Genomic DNA, 18,513 nt, shown 5'->3' with positions numbered 1-18,513 from the left:
TTTTCTTAAAATTATTCCTAGCCTCACCTAAACCTTATTCAGTCACATTTACACTTAAAATGTTTTTTGCTCTTCTTACAGTTACTGTAAATGTGCTCCTCCCTCCCTTTCAAAATGTGAAATACTGTCAGAAAAGGCAGATTTTATAAAATCAAACACCTACAGTAATATTGCAACATGCTAGAACATAACTGTGAGAGAAAATTAATTCAGTAAAATGGTATCTTGTTATTGCAGTCTGTAACTCTCTTGTCTCTTTTCTAATGATTTTTAAAGTCAGAACAGTCCATATGCTTCTTACAATATCAGTGTTTTCAGTTGAATTTTCTCCTTTAGTCTTAAGATTGATTCTATTCTGAAAGTAATAAAAAAATAAATAAATGGAAAAAATACCAAAGCTTGATTTTTCAGATTATTACTTGAAGGGTAGTTTGGAAAAATTCTGTTTTCACTTTCAGCCCCTTCTTTGCCTCAGAACAAACATGGCTTTTTGTCATAAACAAATGTTATGACAGAATGTTTAAATGAACCCTTTGATTTGCAACCACCTTATCTTCAAATGCCACTATATTTGTGAGAACTTGTTTCCTTTAGTCTGATAATACAGCAAGACCCAGTTAAAATAGCAGGATTTCCTAAAACAAGTTGTAAAACCTAAGTTCTGAAAAAGATTGCCCGTAAACTCAATAGAATAAATAATGATGATTCTTATTAGATTGTTTTTCTTATCCAAGAGAAATCTAGTGTTTACAAAATCTTAACTAGAATAATGGTTACCTTAAGGAGATACTGTATTCAGGACAGAAGATGCTTGTATATTGGACCCATGCACCAACCTCCTCTTCAGTTTCCCTTTCTTTGCCTTCTGTTACTGAAAACAGATTAAATGATTCAAATCTTCTTACAGATACATGTCGCAGGCAATCATCCAGGTGTTTTTGCTTCAGAACCTTTGAAATAAAGCCAAATATTGCAGTCATGTTATCTAAACATATAGTAAGTTTAGTGTTCAAAATGTTCAAAATTTAAGTGGTAAGGGGACTTTCCCTTCTAATAATGACAGATTAGATAATTCAGATATATCTCCTACTGAAGATAACTATAAAAGATGAACAAAATATTTTAAAGCATTACTTGAAGACATCAGAGAGCAAAGACAGTGAAGATTTACAAGTCTGATATCTTTTTTTTTTTTTTTTGAGACAGGATCTTACTTTGTCACGCAGCCTCACTGTCACCCAGCCTGTCACCCAGCTGGGTTCAGGCGATCCTCCTACCTCAGGCTCCCTAGCAGCTGGAACTAAAAGTATGCACCACCACGTCTGGTTAATTTTTTAAATTTTTTGTAGAGATGGGGTCTCCCTATATTACCCAGGCTGGATTCAAACTCCTGGGCTCAAGTGATCTTCAACCCTGGCCTCCCAAAGTGCTGGGATTACAGAAGTGAGCCACAGCACTTGGCTTGCAGTCTTATATCTTTAAAAGGAGAAAACCTACAAAGGTTACTCTGACTTTTGCAACCACTTTTCTCCTGGGGATATGTGTCAATTCTAAAAGAAAGAACCAAGAAGATAAGCTGCTTCTTTAACAACCTATGGAGCTAGGAGAGAAAAGTTGAATTTCAAAGCTTACCTAGGAATGGGGAGGTATATTGAGTATGCAAGGTATGTATGTTTTAGCATAATGAATAATTTTGCTGGTGTTGCTAAAAGCCAGGTTTTTAAGTGTGGGGCATATCAACCAATAATAATGCTTGGATTTTATTTGGATCCTCCTCCAAAATAATCAAATTATAAAGAAAAATTATGACAAAATGGGGAAAATTTGAAAACTGATCAGATATTTCATGACATCAATTAATTATTCTGGGTTGATGTGGTATTGTGATTTTTTAATGTCATTTTTATAAGTTCATAATGAAATATTTAAAGAAAAAATGACATCTGAGATTTGCTTCAAAATAATGGTGGTGGGGCAATGGGAGAAGTGAGAATAAACACAGCTGTTCATGAGTTAACAGTGTTGAAGCTTATCAGTACCTGAATGATTATTGTATTGTTCTCTCTAGCTTTATATATGTTTTATATTTCCCATGATAGAAAAATCTTAGATATAAAATAACTTCAGACTCATAAGCAAACAAAAATAAAGAAAAAGATATTTGAAAAGCCAAATATATTTGGAAACTAGGCAATGTACTTATAAATAACCTGTGAAACAGAAAAAGAACACATAATAAAAACTATAGGCCAGGTGCAGTGGCTCATGTCTGTAATCCTAACACTTTGGAAGGCTGAGGCAGGAGGACTGCTTGAGGCCAGGAATTCCAGACCAGCCTGAGCAACATGGCAAGACCCCATATCTACAAAAAATAAAAATAGGCTGGGCACAGTGGCTCACGCCTGTAATCCCAGCACTTTGGGGAGGCTGAGGTGGGTAGATCACCAGAGGTCAGGAGTTTGAGACCAGCCTGGCCAACATGGTGAAACCCCATCCTTACTAAAAATACAAAAATTAGCCAGGTGTGGTGGCGGGGGCCTGTAATCCCAGCTGATGGGGAGGCTGAGGCAGGAGAATCGCTTGAACCCAGGAGGCAGAGGTTGCAGTAAGCCGAGATTGTGCCATTGCACTCCAGCCTGGTTGACAACAGCGAGACTCTGCCTCAAAAAAATTTTAAAATAAAAATAATTAGTAGGATGTGGTGGTGTCTGCCTGTAGTCCTAGCTACTCAGGAAGCTGAGGCAAGAGGATTGCTTGAGCATAGGAGTTTGAGGTTGTAGTGAGCAATGATGAAGCCATTGCACTCCAAATTGGGGAACAGAGTGAGGCTCTATCTCTGAAAAAACAAAGAAAATTATAAAGTATTTTGAATTGAATGACAATAGAAATACATTTCAAAACATATGACATGCAGCTAAATCCAGGCTTACAGAAAAAAATACAGAAAGGCCAAAAGTTAATAAGCATTCATTGCAAAAATTTGAAAAATAAGCAAAATAGATCCCTAAAAGAGTACAGGTTAATGAAGTAGAAAACAAACACAGGAGAGAGGATCGATAATACTAAACGTTGTTTCTTTGAAAAGATTGATAAAACTGATAAATCCTTAATAAGACTAATAAGAAAAAAGGAAGAACTATCAATGTGATACAGGGAGGTTACTATAAATCCTGCAGACATTAAAAAATAATAATAAAGGGATATTTATGAAAACTAACTTTAAAAATTTAGATGAAATGGACAAATTCCTAGAAAAACACAACTACTAAAACTGACACAAGAAGAAACGGAAAATCCGAATAGTCTAAACTATTTCAAAAACTGAATTCATAAATATAAAACTTACCACAAAGAAAACTCCAGGCCCAGATTGCTTACAAGAAAATTACATTACATGTCTGAGTAAGAATTAATGCAAGTCTTACCACATTCTTCATTAAATACTCAAACAACACTATGGGATAGATACCTACTACGTGAGAGAAAAAACTAGAACACAGGGCAGTTAAGCAATTTGCCCAACGTCAGAGAGCTCACAAGAGTCAAACCCAAGGTTAAAATCCAGGCTGCCTGACTACAGACCCTAAACTCTTAACACCTCTGCTTGTAGAGAATATGATAAACCGGCATCACCTATCCATTCCAGCTTCCAAGATACCTTTCTATTTTATAGAGTTGGAAAGCTAGAAGCTGTATTTCCTGGAATCCGTAGCAGCCAAAGTTTCAGATGTGATTTTGGTTTAACTAATCAGATGCACTAACATGAGATTTGAAACAAGGAAAGATGGTGTTAACTATAATTCACAACCAACTTGTGCTGCTTAGAATAGTTGTAAAGATACTTGGTTTTTCTGAAGCAGCTTTAACAGAGGTTCCAGTGTTGACTCTCTAATTTAATGGAGAGTGAGAGGGAGCACAAGTGGCATCACTTCTCCTGGTTGCTTCTAGAATCTATAGTTATGGCATACTTTGCTTCTAGAATCTATAGTTATGGCACAGCAGCTTCCTGTTCACCAAAGATCACAGCTAAAGTGATATAATCCTGGAGACAGCTTCAGGTTCTTTATTGTGGTAGAGGTAGTATTTCACTTGGCTGGCCAGTTGCAGCTTTATACTGTTCTGGCACTCTGTTGTTCTGGGATTCACTCTTAGACTGTTTCTCCAGTGATTTTGTAAGCACTTAATTCACTATGCTAAACCCATTTCTGCTTAAAGTAGCTAGAGTGGTTTCTATTTTCAAAAAAGGAACACTTATTCCAAAGATGCATAATTCTTATGTGTAGAAGGGCAAACTGAGATCAAAATAATCAAGAAAATATATCAGTATGAATATATTTCATAGGAAAAATGTTTAAATTTTATATACTATGTAGAAGTTTTAGAAGGTTAGTTTTTTAAATGGAGGATCGGAAAAGGTAGTCTCTCTTTGAAGGTTTTCTTTATTTTTAATTGTTTAAAAGACTTAATCAAAAGCAGGGTCTTGTTCAGGCATGGTGGCTCATGCCTGTAATCCCAGCACTTTCAGAGGCAAAGGTGGGTAGATCACTGGAGGCCAGGAGTTCGATACCAGCCTGGCCAACATGATGAAACCCCATCTCTACTAAAAATACAAAAATTAGGTGGTGCATGGCATGCACCTGTAATCCCAGGTTCTTGAGAGGCTGAGGCACGAGAACTGCTTGAGCCTGGGAGGCAGAAGGCACAGAAGGCATGAGAATTGTTTGAGCCAGACTGCACTACTGCACTCCAGCGCAGGCAACAGAGCAAGATTCTGTTTAAAAATAATAATAATAATACAGGGTCTTATTATAGTCTGTCAACTATGGGCAACAGGAAGAAAAACAAACTACTCAACAGAGCTTACTCTTAGGAAAAAACAAAGTATTAAATTTTTAAAAATATAAAATGTAGACATTATAAATTATCTTCAATCTTGCCCAATTAAACTCCAAACAGTAAATACCTTTTAATAGTCTAAATTACTCTGATGTCAAGGTAATGGCACCAAGGTACTCTGATGTCAAGGTAATGGTACCATAAACCGCTAATGTAAAAAATAATTTAAGTCACCACATGTATAATACTGGAAGGGGCTTACATAGTTTAGTATGATCTGCATGATCTACAGTATGACAACGTGATCTACATGATCGACAATACGACAACAAGCTAATACTCAATGAAAGTAACAGGCAACATATTTAGAACAAATAAGACATTTATATAATCCATGTTAGGTAAAAGTAATTGCAATAGGAGATCAAGTCAAATTACTTTTGACATTGCTTTAAAAAGAAGATTCAGTTATTTTAAGGCCATCAATAATATTGGTAGTTTAATGAACTGAAGGGATGCTCAAATCTCCCATCAAGTTATAACCTTATCATCTACCACTTTTAGAAGACCTCCTTCAAATACCCATGTTATATAATTAAATAATATTCAAATGAAATTATCTGGGGTGAAGGAATAGTCAAGGCATTTTCTCATTCTCCTAAGTAAGTCAATGAGCTATTTAGTCAAATATCAATGCTATATACCAAATAAGTTCATGTCAAAAGATTAAGTATCAGAAGAAGAAAAAAAAGACATCAAGTCCTAAGGTCCCTAAACCCATTAGGTAAACAACGTATGCAACTGAACACAATGGAAGTCAAAGACCCATTTATTAACCTGAAATGTTTGTTTACTCCAGAACTAACTAAACTGATCATAACTATACAGAAACACTTATGAAGACCAGATGGGTAGAGGAGTAAGGCTAAACACAAAAGTATTGGTTGAAAATCTTTTAGAAGAGTAGCTAGATGCCCTGATTACATCATCAACACCAGGCAACTACACTTCCCCACAATGGTACTTTGATAGATACATTTCTAGAGAAGATGAGTAACAGTTCTGATCTTAAACATCGAGTACAGCTTAAAGTAGTATAACAGGCTCTTCATTCTGATCAATATCCCTTTCCTTCACTTAGCTTCCAGATAATAGGCAGCTAGTCTTATATCTGCCTGCCAGAGAGGAGAGTGCAATATAGAATGAGTACCCCTTATCCAAAATGGAACCAGAAGTGTTTTGGATTTTGAATTTGTTCAGATTTTGGATTTGTTTGGATTTGGGAATATTTGCAAAACATAAAGAGAAGGCTTGGGATGGGACCCAAGTCTAAACATGAAATTCATTTGTTTTTCATATATACCTTATACACATAGCCTGAAGGCAATTTATATAATTTTTAAAATAATTTTATGCATAAAACAAAGTTTTGACTGTATTTTAATTGCGACTTGTCACATGAGGTCAAGCATGGAATTTTCCATTCGTGGCAACATGTCGGCTCTCAAAAAGTTTCGGATATTGAAGCATTTAAGATCTTTAATTTTTGTATTAGGGATACTTAACCAGGTTTCCTTTCTCGGATATTGGAACAAGAAAAAAAGACCTGTAGATACTGACATTTGGGATCCACTCAACAAAAATGGCCAATTCCAGTTACCCTACAGTTAAAAGGACAGTTAACAGAATTCTGAATCCCTATATTTATATATGAATCTATGCTCAGGGATGCAAGTAAAAACCAGAAAACCTTATCCTTTACATGCGGAAGCTATAGTGTTTCCCGTTTTTAAGACACAGCAACAGGCCGGGCATGGTGGCTCACACGTGTAATCCCAGCACTTTGGGAGGCTGAGGTGGGCAGATTGCTTGAGCTCAGGAGTTCGAGACCTGCCTGGGCAACATGGCAAAACCCCATCCCTGCCAAAAAAAATACAAAAATTAGCCAGGCGTGGTGGTGTGCACCTGTAGTCCCAGCTACTCAGAAGACTAAGGCACAAGAATCGTTTGAACCCAGGACATGGAGGTTGCAGTGAGCCGAGATCACACTGCTGCACTTCAGCCTGGATGATGGAGTGAGACTTTGTCTCAAATAATAATAATAATAATAACAATAGCTGCTATTTATTTTGAGTCTATGATGTGGCAGATTCCAAGCTAAACATTTTACAAATATTATCTCAAATACTCAAAACAACCTTCCAAAGTATGTGTTATCACTCCCATTAAGTGAAGAGAAAACTGAGGTTAGAAAGTAAAAAGTTGTCCAAATTCCAACAACTTATGGAAGACTTATATGACAACTATTACCAAAAGGATTCAAGATGGCTTAAAAAGATGAACAATACAACAAGATAACATTTATGAAGAAAAAGAGAAAGCAAAAGTAAGCATATAAAACAAAGTCAAGAATAAAGGTGAAACAAAAATACATTCCAAAACAATCTAAATACTTGATATAGATCAGTGAAGAGCATCCAGTACGTGGTAGTAGACCTAGGACTGGATCAAGACTTAGATGCATCTGACGCCAGTGTCAAGTTGTATGCTTGCCAAGTTAACTGTGCTTCTTCACAAACCTTTTTATTCTACTTATTCTTCAAAATAACAAATTAAATTTGTCATCAATTAAATATTTAACTTGTCATTAATTAAATATTACAAAACTAATAACATAGAGCTGAAAGGGAGTTAACGTTACCCTAAAAGCCAAGTTGAATGTTTGAGAAAGATAAAGGTAAGTTGCTTAAAAGTTTACTATCAGTTTAGGTGTTGGAAGCCAACTATAAACATTTGAAGAATTACAAATACCTAGAAAGATTTGACACTCAGAAAATAACTTCACTTGGAATATGTATCGTTATTACAATTCACCTCTTAACCAACTTTTTCAATTAGCCAATCCAGGAAAAAGCATCCTGCTTTGATATAAACTGAACTGTGAAATATTCCATAATCAGATTCTTCAGCCAAGTATTCATACCTCTAGGCAACATTTTTCATTCGGTAGGTGGTTTGTAAATACGTGTGTAACAGTCATTGCTACTTTTTCATCTGCCCTACATTGCCTCCTTTTAGGAACTGCCCCTCTCTCACTCTATGTAATTCTAGTGAGGTTGTTACCTTACCTGCCACAGGGTAGGCTGATAACCCAGGTTAGCCAAAGTGCCCCATTCTGGACACAGCAATTGGTCTAACCTTGGCCTATCAGAGTCCTTTGGAGGAAATGATTTGGATGTTGGGGAAAAGAGTTATTTCTTCTGGATTACTAGCTGGATGGATATGAAAGCCCGGAGTTGCCAGTGGCCATCTTCGTCAACATGTAATGAGACTCAACAAAGAGGAAAACAGAACAACATCCATAACCTCTACTGATATTGATTCATCATCTTCCAGACCTCATCTAATTTAAGTACTCGCTTGACTCAAATCTTGGCAACTTACCATGTAACCTGGAACCAAATGATGCACTAGGTCAACCAGGTTTTCTCTCAAAACCTATGTTTTGTTAATTACAAAACACAGAAAATACTGAATAGTTAACATAAAGTAAAAGGCCATGAGACAGCCTTGGAGCTCTATAGGGTAATGGAAAGACAGAATTTTAAAGGAAAAAACAAGTAGACAGAGCAGATGTTCTTCAGATGTCCCACGAGCGAGAAAAGGAGTCACATATCTCTAGCACTGCTTAGATTCCTTATAGTTTTCCAGTACTAGATGCATATAGGATAGGAATGGTTCATTCATTTGAAATACATTTACTAAGAGCTTGTAAATGTTTAATATATGTGATCGATTAAATTGTAATAGAAAAATATTCACTTCCTCTTTGTCACCTCCAAGGAAGGAGTTGTATTTCCCTGCCCCTTGAATTTGGCCTTTGCCAAATATCTTACTTTGGCCAATAGGAAATAAACACATGATGTGAGCAGGGGTTTAAAATGTGTCTCTGTGGTTGGGCTTGCTCTTATACCTCTGCTATCACCATGAGGACTTCAGCCCACTAGTCCAAAGATTAGAGACATATGGACCACATGTGCATCATAGAGATACCCAGATGACTACAGCCTATGTCGGTCAGCTCCCAGGTGGCCCCCAGATGCACCAACAAAATAAATACTAACTGTTGTATGCCACTGTGATGTTGCGGTTCTTACTTAGCAATAGCTTACTGATAAAATACACTAAGGACTAGGTGCTATGCGCCACTTAAAGACTGTCCTTACTCTCAGGCTTTCCACAGACACTGAACAACATCTACTAAAAATCAATTAACCAGGCCCTGTGCTAGGTGCAGAGGATGTAAATTAATAAAACATCACCTTTTCCCAGGGTGAATGCCCATTCTAGTAAGAAAAAGAGACCCTGATCACATGATCATAAAATAATATAAAGGGCTCATTGGTAGAGTTGGCTGAGGGTCTAACTTAGCCCAGAGGCATTAGGGGTGGCTTCACAGAAGAGTAGTTTGAAATGGAAGTGTGAAGAATGAACAATCATTCACCAAGTAGAGAAGATAAAAAGACTATAAGCAGGCAGATATATACCAAAAGTTTCGATGTCAGAACGTGTGGGGACTTCATGTAACAGCCACAGCTGAAACTTGTCACTGTTTTCATTTAGACCGCAATTTAGAATGAACATAAGTGCTGTAGTTTTTACTATACTGAGAATCACTGAAAGCCAGGTATCATGGCATACCCCTGTAATTCCAACTACTCAGGAGGCTGAGGTGGGAGGATTGCTTGAGCCCAGGAGTTACCTGCCTGGGCAACAAGCAAGACTCTATCTTATTTAAAAAAAAAAAAAAAAAAAAAAGGAAGGGTGGGGGCGGTGGGCGTGGCAGGCATGGTGGCTGATACCTGTAATCCCAGCACTTCGGGAGGCGAGGCAAGTGAATCACCTGAGGTCAGGAGTTTGAGACCAGCCTGGCCAACATGGCGAAACTCCGTCTCTACTAAAAACACAAAAATTAGCTGGGCGTAATGGCGAGCACCTGTAATCCCAGCTATTCGGAAGGCTGAGTACGGGAGAATTGCTTGAACCAGGGAGGCGGAGGCTGCAGTGAGCCGAGATTGCGCCATTGCACTCACGTCTGGGCAACACAGTAAGGCTCTGTATCGAAAAAAAAAAAAAAAAAAGAAGGGGGTTGCCGGGCACGGTGGCTCATGCCTGTAATCCCAGTACTTTGGGAAGCCGAGGTGGGTGGATCACCTGAGGTGGGGAGTTCGAGACCAGCTTGACAAACATGGAGAAACCCCGTCTCTACTTAAAAAAAAAAAAAATTAGCCAGGCGTGGTGGTGCATGCCTGTAATCCCAGCTACTGGGGAGACTGAGGAAGGAGAATCATTTGAACCCTAGAGGCGGAGGTTGTGGTGAGCGGAGATGGCAGCCATTGCAGTCCAGCCTGGGCAACAAGAGGGAAACTCCATTTCAAAAAAAAAGGAGGGGGGAAGGGGGGTTGAGTCCACTCTCCCCAGCTCACGCCAGATCTCATTTCAGTGGTCACTATTAAAAAAAATTAGATATTTACTTTATTATAGATACTTCCTATGATGATCTGTGAGGACATGCATTTTCTTATCCTGTAATACCATTTGTAACAATAGCAAAACCAGATCATTACTGGTCTGGAAAGACTGTCAATGTATCAGCAAATAAATCTTAATTAACTCTGATGATCTACTTAACTCATAACTCTAAAAGCACTAAAAGACCACTGTATGAAAAGGTGACTCAAGGCAACTGCAAACAAAGTGATCCCCAAAATACTAAAAGCACAATCTCAAGTAAAGTGGCAATAGCTGGGAAACTCTTTTCCAAACACAACTGTCAGAAATGGAAAAATGTCCTCCTGAGTAAAGTTTTCGGCAGAAAACTTCAGGCAGAGGCATAACACTGCTATGCAAAAACAATAACCAGACTTCACTTCAAGAAGTGAGCGAAGAATGTGAGTGATCATAAATCAGAACTTCCGTCAAGCTTGCACGAGTGGAGTTGTAAGTAACAGCAGAAACTTTGAAGTACCAGAAGATACCATCATTCAAAAACGAACACACTTTGACTAGCCCACCTTGGACACGGAGAATCTCGCTGATCACTACAAACTACAAGATAATCATTTAACTTTGAGACCTCAGTGAGAGAGGGTATCAGCTTTTCCTACTCCTTGCACGCTCCGCTGTACGGAAGATGCCGAGGGAACGCATGCCGTGTCTCAGTCCCGGCATAGTCAACCACGCTGGGCAAAAGACGGGGCCAGAGGGTGCAGACGAATATCGGTAACTCGAACCAGGCTGGGAGTTAAGCTAGAAGAAACTGGGGAAGGAGGCAAAACAGAAGCAGGAAAAGAGCAGTGGGGAGCGGCGGGCGCACCAGAGACTGGCGAGAAGGGGAAAAGTCCCCCAGACGCACAAAAATGTCTAGAAGGGGTTCTTCTACTTCGATCTGAGTTTCCCAGGAGCTCAGCCTTGGCTGTCCCGCTCCCCACCCAACCCCACATGATTCCTCCTCTTGGATGGGACGCTTAGGTGAAGCGAGGGGGAGCTTCGCAGGTGGCTCCCGGCAAACTGAGAAGGGTCTCCCAGAGCTGCCAAGAGGAAAGAACTGCGAACAGTCGCTCCCCCGGTACGTGAGAGAGGAGTGACCAGAGGCAAAGGTGAGGCGAGCAGGTTCTCCCTTACCTGCCGCAGGAGCTTCCACCGGGCGGCTCCCAGGGGCGCCGAGACTACGGGCCCCCGAGTGGTGCAGCCAACTGCCGGACTCCCGCCCGCTGCTCGCGCGGTCTCGCCGGTCCCAGCGTCCGCGACTCGCGACTCCATCTCACTGGAGCCTTCCACACCCGGAGGTGCCACCGCCGCAGCTCGTCCCCTGCCAGGACCTGCCAACTTCTTCCCTGTCAGGACCTGTGACGCCCGGCACCCTCCCTCCACCGGACCAGGCATGCGCGCTCTCCCCGAATTCCGCATTTCCGGTACTCGCATCTCCTTGGCAACCAGGGCCGAGCTGTCACGCCATTGCACCATTCTTGCTGGTAGCCATCTTGAGTGAGGGCGGACCAGAGGATGAGAGAGCTGTGGCAGGGCTACTGGAACGCTGTCCCTCATTGTTTTAGCCTTCTGTGCTTCATCTCGAGCTCAGAAGACTAGCGAAGAACGAAAAGTCTTATATATTTCGAGACTAAAGAACCCAGGAACCCAAGAAGACTCCTTGACCACAACAAAGATGGCGAAATCTGCCTGTTGCTCGTGCTAGATTGAGGTTACGTAGATTGGCGTGCTGCAAACCAGCTCTAGGCGGCTCTGGGTAAGTTGTCGTTCTGTGGGCTGCGGAACGCAGACTTCGGCTGGACTTGCCTGCGGTGACACCTGCTCCCCTCTGAGAGCTTCAGGTTCTCCGGCCTGCCTTCACTGGTTTGTGTCCAGAGCCGGACTGATTCTCTCAATTTGCGTATGTATGGGGGGTGTGCTGGTCTCTTTCCTTCTCCCCTTTCTCCCCCCGCCCAGCCACCCACCCCTCAGTCCCCAGGTCCTCGCTTTTTGACTAATGTCCCGGCACTGCGTGCGTGTCACCTGGTCCCTCTCCCTGTTGCATTCAGATCGCCTCATCCCTGGGGTGGAGAGTTGCACGGGGTAAACGAATAGGTTCTCCTGAGAACACCCATTTATCTACCCCACCCCCATCCTAGCCTTGCATACTGTCTTCTTGGGGATGAAAGATGGATGGATAAAGGCTGTGGGAACGTGGTGATGTAGGACCTTTGCAGGTCCTTGTTATTCGGGTCTTTTTTCCCCTTTTTTTACTAGTGTCGGCTAGTAAACTAGTGTTGCTCCCCTACCCCCAATCGCCCATTATTTTGCTGCGACATGGAAAGGGATTAAGGGGGGCGGGGGCGTCGTAGCGCATCTGATCTATGGTAAATTTGACGCAGCATTCTACCTTTGATACCAGGGGGCATTTTGTGGAAGACTTCCATAATGACATTCAGCGGTGTGCAACATACCTAGATTATTCCTGTCGTAAATAATAGCAACTGCCATTTATTGAGTGGTCACTATGTGCCAGGCACTGTATGGTCTTAATGTTAAGCTGTCTCATTTTGTCTTTACAACAACAACCCTAGAAGGTAAATGGTGTCATTTCATTTTTGCAGATGAAGAAACTGAGGCCCGGAGACACAGTTAAGTGTAGGAGCTAAGACCTCAACCCAGGTCTCTCTGACTCTTAACTACTTATTAGCAATCAAGGTTAATAAAAGCTACCTCCTGACAAACCAGAGATGGCCTTACATTTTATTTGTGCATCTTGCAGGGGTTTTTTGTTGTTTTTAATTAAAGCGCTAAATACCTTTTTAACATTAAAAATCCGAAGTTGAGTATGTCCAGTATTTGGAACCGAACCAAATTGGATTTTTTGCTATACAGCTTACTGTACAAGTGACCTGGAACAGTTGCTTAGAACCTCCCACAGCCACAGTTTGGCAACCTGTAAAATGTGCATGGTAATATCTACTTTATTAAGTCCATATAAAATTTAAATTAGACAAACAAGATAAAAGCACCTGGCAGTTAGTTAACACTCAACAATAATTAATCTTCCCTCCCCCACCTTTATTAAATAATTAGGCTTTTCCAGTTTATCTTCCACATATATACCAAAGATACGTTCATAATTATGTAAGACCAAAGGGCTTTTTACCTTTTACAGCCCTGAGTTCCTGAGATACCCCATTAAGTCTGTGTACTTATTTGCAAATTTATATTTTGTTTCTTGTTTTGTTTTTTGTTTTAGTTTAACCCCTATGTGTGCCAGAGTCAGTGCTGCATAGTTTGAGCCTGATAGGATTAACTTTACAAATGAGACATTTAAGTCACATCTGCCAAGAATTATGATTTGAATGAAACTTTAACTTACACAGGTTTTTAGATTTAGTTAGCCTAAGTTATCAGCTGTCTGAAGTTATTCATAACCTAAGTGGGGCATGGCCCTGAAAAGGAGGGATGAGAACTGCTGATCTTAGTTACTCTGAGAACCCACTACTCTGTAATCATACCTATAAAATCATTCGTGTGCTGGCAGCCCCAAAAGGAGCATAAACCAGGGACTTTGATATCATGCAGCAGAAGACCAAATTATTTCTCCAAGCTTTGAAGTATAGTATTCCTCACCTTGGAAAATGCATGCAGAAACAGCATTTGAATCACTATAACTTCGCTGATCATTGTTACAATAGAATAAAATTGAAAAAATATCACCTAACCAAGTGTCTTCAGAATAAACCCAAGATATCAGAGTTAGCAAGAAACATCCCAAGTCGGAGCTTCTCATGTAAGGTATGGACTGTTTAAGTTAACCTATTTGTAGGTCATTAAGATTAATTTTAATTTAAAAATAAAGAATGGGTAGAATATCAGAGCTACTAATTTTCTCAGTAATTCTAACTTGATTTTTCTAATTTTCAAGTCTCAATTGTCTCTAGTCAAAAGTAAGTATAAAAGAGTATATACATCGAGGCAGGCAGATCACCTGAGGTCAGGAGTTCGAGACCAGCCTGGCCAACATGGTAAAACCCTGTCTCTACTAAAAATACAAAAGTTAGCTAGGCGTCATGGCACCCACCTGTAATCCCAGCTACTTGGGAGGCTGAGGCAGAGAATCTCTTGAACCCAGGAGGCAGAGGTTGCGGTGAGCTGAGATCGCACCACAGCACTCCAGCCTGGGTGACAGGGAGACTCTGTCTGAAAAAAAAAAAAAAAAAAAAAGTGTATACATATATTTATAGGGCTCTAATGTAATATATAAAAATGTAGGTTTATAAAAAATGATTCACCTCAGGACTTCCTTAGTATGCCTGCCAGTGCATTTCAAAGTATAATTCGGCCTTCTAAATTTCCTAGAACACTAAATTATAGCTCTTAATAAAATCTAATGATACGCTAATTGTTTTATGAATCACAAATCAGTAAACTTCAGTAAAGGCCATGAATTGTATTTTATTTCTCTGTAAAAAAATGAAAAATAATCTTGCGTTTTTGACCACTTGAGTCATTCAGGAAGACACTGTCAGAGTATTGTACTTCTGCCAGACCCCAAGCTGTGGGCGTGAACTCAACCTTAAGGACCTGATTGCCCTTATATAGAGAGTAACCACATAACCACTTTTGCCTGGCACAGCTCCAGCCTACACCTGTTGTCCCTGTGTAATTATTAATAGTGTCCCCTTTCCTCTCAAAAGTGTCCTGGTTAGAATGGTAAATTATATGGTCATCCTACAGTAAGTAGGATTAAATGATCTATTTGTGCTGCTGCTGCTTTGACATCCCTCTCCTACCTTTTACTTCTTATGTTCCTTAGGTTCCTTAATGATATTTGGGGGTGGTATTCTTGCAATAGTTTCACAAATTTATGATTTTAATATTTTTTTTATTTTAATTTCTGGTTTTGTCGCATACTGATTTTTCTTTTAGTCTGTTTTGGCTTCCTCCTTTCTTCGGGTAAAATATATGTATAACAAAGTTTTCCACTTGATCCATTTTAAAGTATGCAATTCAGTGGCTTTCAAAGTTCATCTGTGTTGTATGCATGTATCATAACTTCATTTCTTTTTATAGTTGAATAATATTCCTTTGTATGTATAAACCACATTTTGTTTATCCATTCCTGTAATTGATGGACACTTGGGCAGATTCTTCTCATTTTAGAAACTATCTTTTCAATCTAATTTTTCTCAGTTTTTCTAGTTTTTGTTCAATTTTTGCCGCTATCTTAGCTGATACCTATTTAGGTGTTGTGTGTGTCTCTTTTGCTTTTAACATTTTATATGTTAGCCCCCTAGTCTTCCTAGACTTTTACTGTTTATGTTTTAGTCTTTGAAATTCTTTTCCTTTTTGTAGTGTCTTGCCTTAGTTTAGTACTTTCTTTACTCATTTAGAAATTCTTTATAACTTCTTTTTATTTCATTTTTGTGTTTTTTGTACATCTTTCCTACTTCAGAAAGATAAAATTTTTAATTTCACCTATTGAACTAAATTTTGGACCTTTAGGTTATTTTATTTTGCATTGTGTTTAGAACATTTTGTCATGTCGTACTTTGTCTTAACACTTAGTTTATAAATAGTAGACAGGAATTACCATCAGAGTAACAGCTGTGATATTAGCTCACATTCTAAACAGAAGGTTGACTATTTCTTCCCTCCATTTGTTCCTGAAGCAACTTTTCCGTTCTCTTTTATAGATTCCCACTACCTGGAAACTTTAACCTGACTCAATAACTCCAAGTATTAATAGTTCATTTAGTAATTCCTTTACCTGATAAAGTAATCCTGCTGTCACATGTCATGTATCAACCATTCCCTCTATGAGAAATGATGTAATGTAAAAGCCATGGTCTTTATCACTGAGACCTGGGGAAGCTTTATAAAGATGCCCCGGCAGCTGTGAAAACACCTGTAGAGAAGAATGCACATTTCCTTCTTTCAGCAAGCATCCACTGATTTCCAACTCTGTCCACTTTTATAGGGTGTAATAAAGTAGAAAAAGTAGTTACTGCTTTTAGGTAAATTAAAATGTCTGCTTAAAGAGCTATTACCTATATAAGTTAACTAAGGAACAGAAAAGTAGCATGTGTAGTGGGAATGTTAGAAGGCAAAAGATCCAGCCACGATTGGTGTGACTGAACTAATCAGGACTCCTAATTTTCCTGACTGAAAAAAATAGGGAGTTCTGATCAGGCATACTGGCTCACGCCAGTAATCCCAGAACATTGGGAGGCCAAGGCGAGCAGATTGTCCGAGCTCAGGAATTCGAGACCAGCCTTGGCAACATGGCAAAACCCCAACTCTACCAAAAAGACTAAAAATTAGCTGGGTATGGTGGCGCACGCCTGTAATCCCAGCTGCTTGGAAGGCTGATGTGGGATGATTGATTCAGCCTGGGAGGTCGAGGCTGCAGTGAGGTTGAGGCACAGTGAGATCTTCAGCCTGGGTGACAGAAGGATACCCTGTCTCAAAAAAAAAAAAATAGGGAGTTTCAACTTGTCATTCTGTAGAAAGTCTTAGAGGTGCTAAAATTTCATGATTCTATACCTCTTGTTACCTTAGCAACAAATTACTGCCTAAAAGTTTGGGGACTCTTCAGTATCAACTTCTGCAGTCTAACTGTATATCAGAAATCCTGGAGAGCTTTTTAGAAATGCGGATTCCTGGATCTCACCCCACATCTGCGTAATGAAAATCTCTATGGTTGAGGCCTACACATCTGTTGTTTGTTTGTTTGTTTGTTTGTTTGAGACGGAGTCTTGCTTTGTTGCCCAGGCCGGAGTGCAATGGCATGATCTTGGCTCACTGCAACCTCCACCTCCCAGATTCAGGCAATTCTCCTGCCTCAGCTGCCAAGTAGCTGGGATTACAGGCGTCCACCACCATGCCCAGCTAAATTTTTTTGTATTTTTTAGTAGAGACAGGGTTTCACCACGTTGGTCAGGCTGGTCTCGAACTCCTGACTTCAGGTGATCCACCTGCCTCGGCCTCCCAAAGTGCTGGGATTACAGGAGTGAGCCACCATGCCCGGCCCCAGATCTGTTTTTTGAAGTTCACATCAGGTAATTCTGGAACTCACAACTTGACTGACACTGGACCTGAATTTAGAAATTGGAAATGTTTGATGATCAAGTGTTGCCGATCTAAACCTTATTGAATTCATTCAGTTCTGCAGTTCTTATTGGCAAGTACCTCTGCTTTCCATTTTACATTAGCCAGATGGCAAGATGAACTTACTCTATTATACTTACAAGCCAGCCAGTGATATTCAAAGACTAGCATCCATCCATCCAGATATCACATTTCTTTATCTTCCACATCATCCTGCTCTGCTCTGCCTAAAAAATAATTCCCAAAATCTTTAATAGTGATAATTTGAACAAGATACAAAATGAAATTGTATAATTAAAGAGAGAAGACTAAATCCTTTGGTTAAACATGTCATTTGCCTATTTCTACAATACAGGTTAGCAGCTCCTGCAATAGTCTCATATTCATATGTGTGTGTGTGTGTATATATATATATATATATATATATATAATATGTAGTTTTGTATATCTTGCAAAAAGTTTGAGCTACATCCTTTTAAGCAATAGAATGTTATTGAAAAATGTAGGCGCAATCAGATTTGCATTTTAGAAGAATCACTCTGACAGAATAGAGAATAAATTGGAAGTAGGAAGCCTTGTCAGTAACTCAGATGAGTGAAGATGAGAGTCTTTACAGGGTGATTGCTTTTTTTTGAGACAGTGTCTCACTCTGTCACCCAGTCTGTAGTGCAGTGGCACAGTCTCTGCTCACTGCAACCTCCACCTCCCAGGCTCAAGTGATTCTCGTGCCTTAGCCTCCTGAGTAACTGGAATTACAGGCATGTGCCACCACACCCAGCTAATTTTTTTATATTTTAAGTAGAGACAGGGTTTCGCCATGTTGGCTAGGCTGGTCTGGAAGCCCAGCCTCAAGCAATCCACCTGCCTTGCCCTCTCAAAGTGCTGGGATTACAGGCATGAGCCACCGCAGCTGGCCCTGATTACATTTTATTTGAGACATCTTAATGGAAGACTAGAGAGCTTGAGTGATAATTCCTCATCTCTTTGGATTCTAAAATCCAAAAGCCTGTTAGAAAACAAATGATTTTT

At 39.7% G+C, this 18,513-nt stretch overlaps 2 protein-coding genes across 24 annotated transcripts in view, besides 5 other annotated features; one reads left to right on the top strand and one right to left on the bottom strand.

Annotated features, from left to right (window-relative positions):
- The window catches only part of CAMKMT (calmodulin-lysine N-methyltransferase), a 410,646-nt gene extending 398,927 nt beyond the window's left edge, over positions 1–11,719 (bottom strand). For all 7 annotated transcript variants that reach the window (XR_939723.2, XR_007081736.1, XR_939722.3 and 4 more), the window contains exons 1-2: positions 11,521–11,719; positions 778–950 (exon numbers count right to left, since the gene is read on the bottom strand). Coding sequence is in view for 4 of the 7 variants with exons in the window: in NM_024766.5 (NP_079042.1) it covers positions 778–950; positions 11,521–11,658 (311 nt within the window). In the remaining 3 variants the exon portion in view is untranslated. The remainder of the gene's footprint in view (positions 1–777; positions 951–11,520) is intronic.
- Positions 11,012–11,905: an enhancer, noted in NCBI's record as "NANOG-H3K27ac-H3K4me1 hESC enhancer chr2:44588900-44589793 (GRCh37/hg19 assembly coordinates)". NCBI's record gives its function as "activates a minimal SCP1, AML or CMV promoter by ChIP-STARR-seq in naive and primed H9 embryonic stem cells {active_cell/tissue: H9 hESC(naive and primed)}" and the evidence as "EXISTENCE:reporter gene assay evidence [ECO:0000049][PMID:30033119]".
- Positions 11,012–12,800: a biological region, named in NCBI's record as "BRD4-independent group 4 enhancer GRCh37_chr2:44588276-44589475".
- Positions 11,330–12,529: an enhancer, noted in NCBI's record as "BRD4-independent group 4 enhancer chr2:44588276-44589475 (GRCh37/hg19 assembly coordinates)". NCBI's record gives its function as "activates an origin of replication core promoter dependent on BRD2, P300/CBP, MED14 and CDK7 cofactors, and independent of BRD4, by STARR-seq in HCT116 cells {active_cell/tissue: HCT116}" and the evidence as "EXISTENCE:reporter gene assay evidence [ECO:0000049][PMID:35650434]".
- Positions 11,624–12,093: an enhancer, noted in NCBI's record as "active region_15685". NCBI's record gives its function as "activates an Ori minimal core promoter by ATAC-STARR-seq in GM12878 lymphoblastoid cells {active_cell/tissue: GM12878}" and the evidence as "EXISTENCE:reporter gene assay evidence [ECO:0000049][PMID:35858748]".
- Positions 11,804–18,513, top strand: part of PREPL (prolyl endopeptidase like) — a 44,256-nt gene continuing 37,546 nt past the window's right edge. For 2 of the 17 annotated variants that reach the window (XM_047446444.1, NM_001171603.1), the window contains exons 1-2: positions 11,804–12,142; positions 13,916–14,169. In XM_047446444.1, the coding sequence (XP_047302400.1) occupies positions 13,951–14,169 (219 nt within the window). In that variant the 5' untranslated portion in view covers positions 11,804–12,142; positions 13,916–13,950. Of the gene's footprint in view, positions 12,143–12,171; positions 12,287–12,991; positions 14,170–18,513 lie in introns of those variants that run through there. The other 15 variants (XM_047446443.1, NM_001374275.1, XM_047446442.1 and 12 more) reach the window with 10 other exon arrangements.
- Positions 11,906–12,800: an enhancer, noted in NCBI's record as "NANOG-H3K27ac-H3K4me1 hESC enhancer chr2:44588005-44588899 (GRCh37/hg19 assembly coordinates)". NCBI's record gives its function as "activates a minimal SCP1, AML or CMV promoter by ChIP-STARR-seq in naive H9 embryonic stem cells {active_cell/tissue: H9 hESC(naive)}" and the evidence as "EXISTENCE:reporter gene assay evidence [ECO:0000049][PMID:30033119]".

Source organism: Homo sapiens, chromosome 2 (genome assembly GCF_000001405.40).
Source record: "Homo sapiens chromosome 2, GRCh38.p14 Primary Assembly".
NCBI classification, from domain to species: domain Eukaryota; kingdom Metazoa; phylum Chordata; class Mammalia; order Primates; family Hominidae; genus Homo; species Homo sapiens.
The sequence above is the reverse complement of the archived record's forward strand: the minus strand, read 5'-3'. Positions and strand labels throughout refer to the sequence as shown.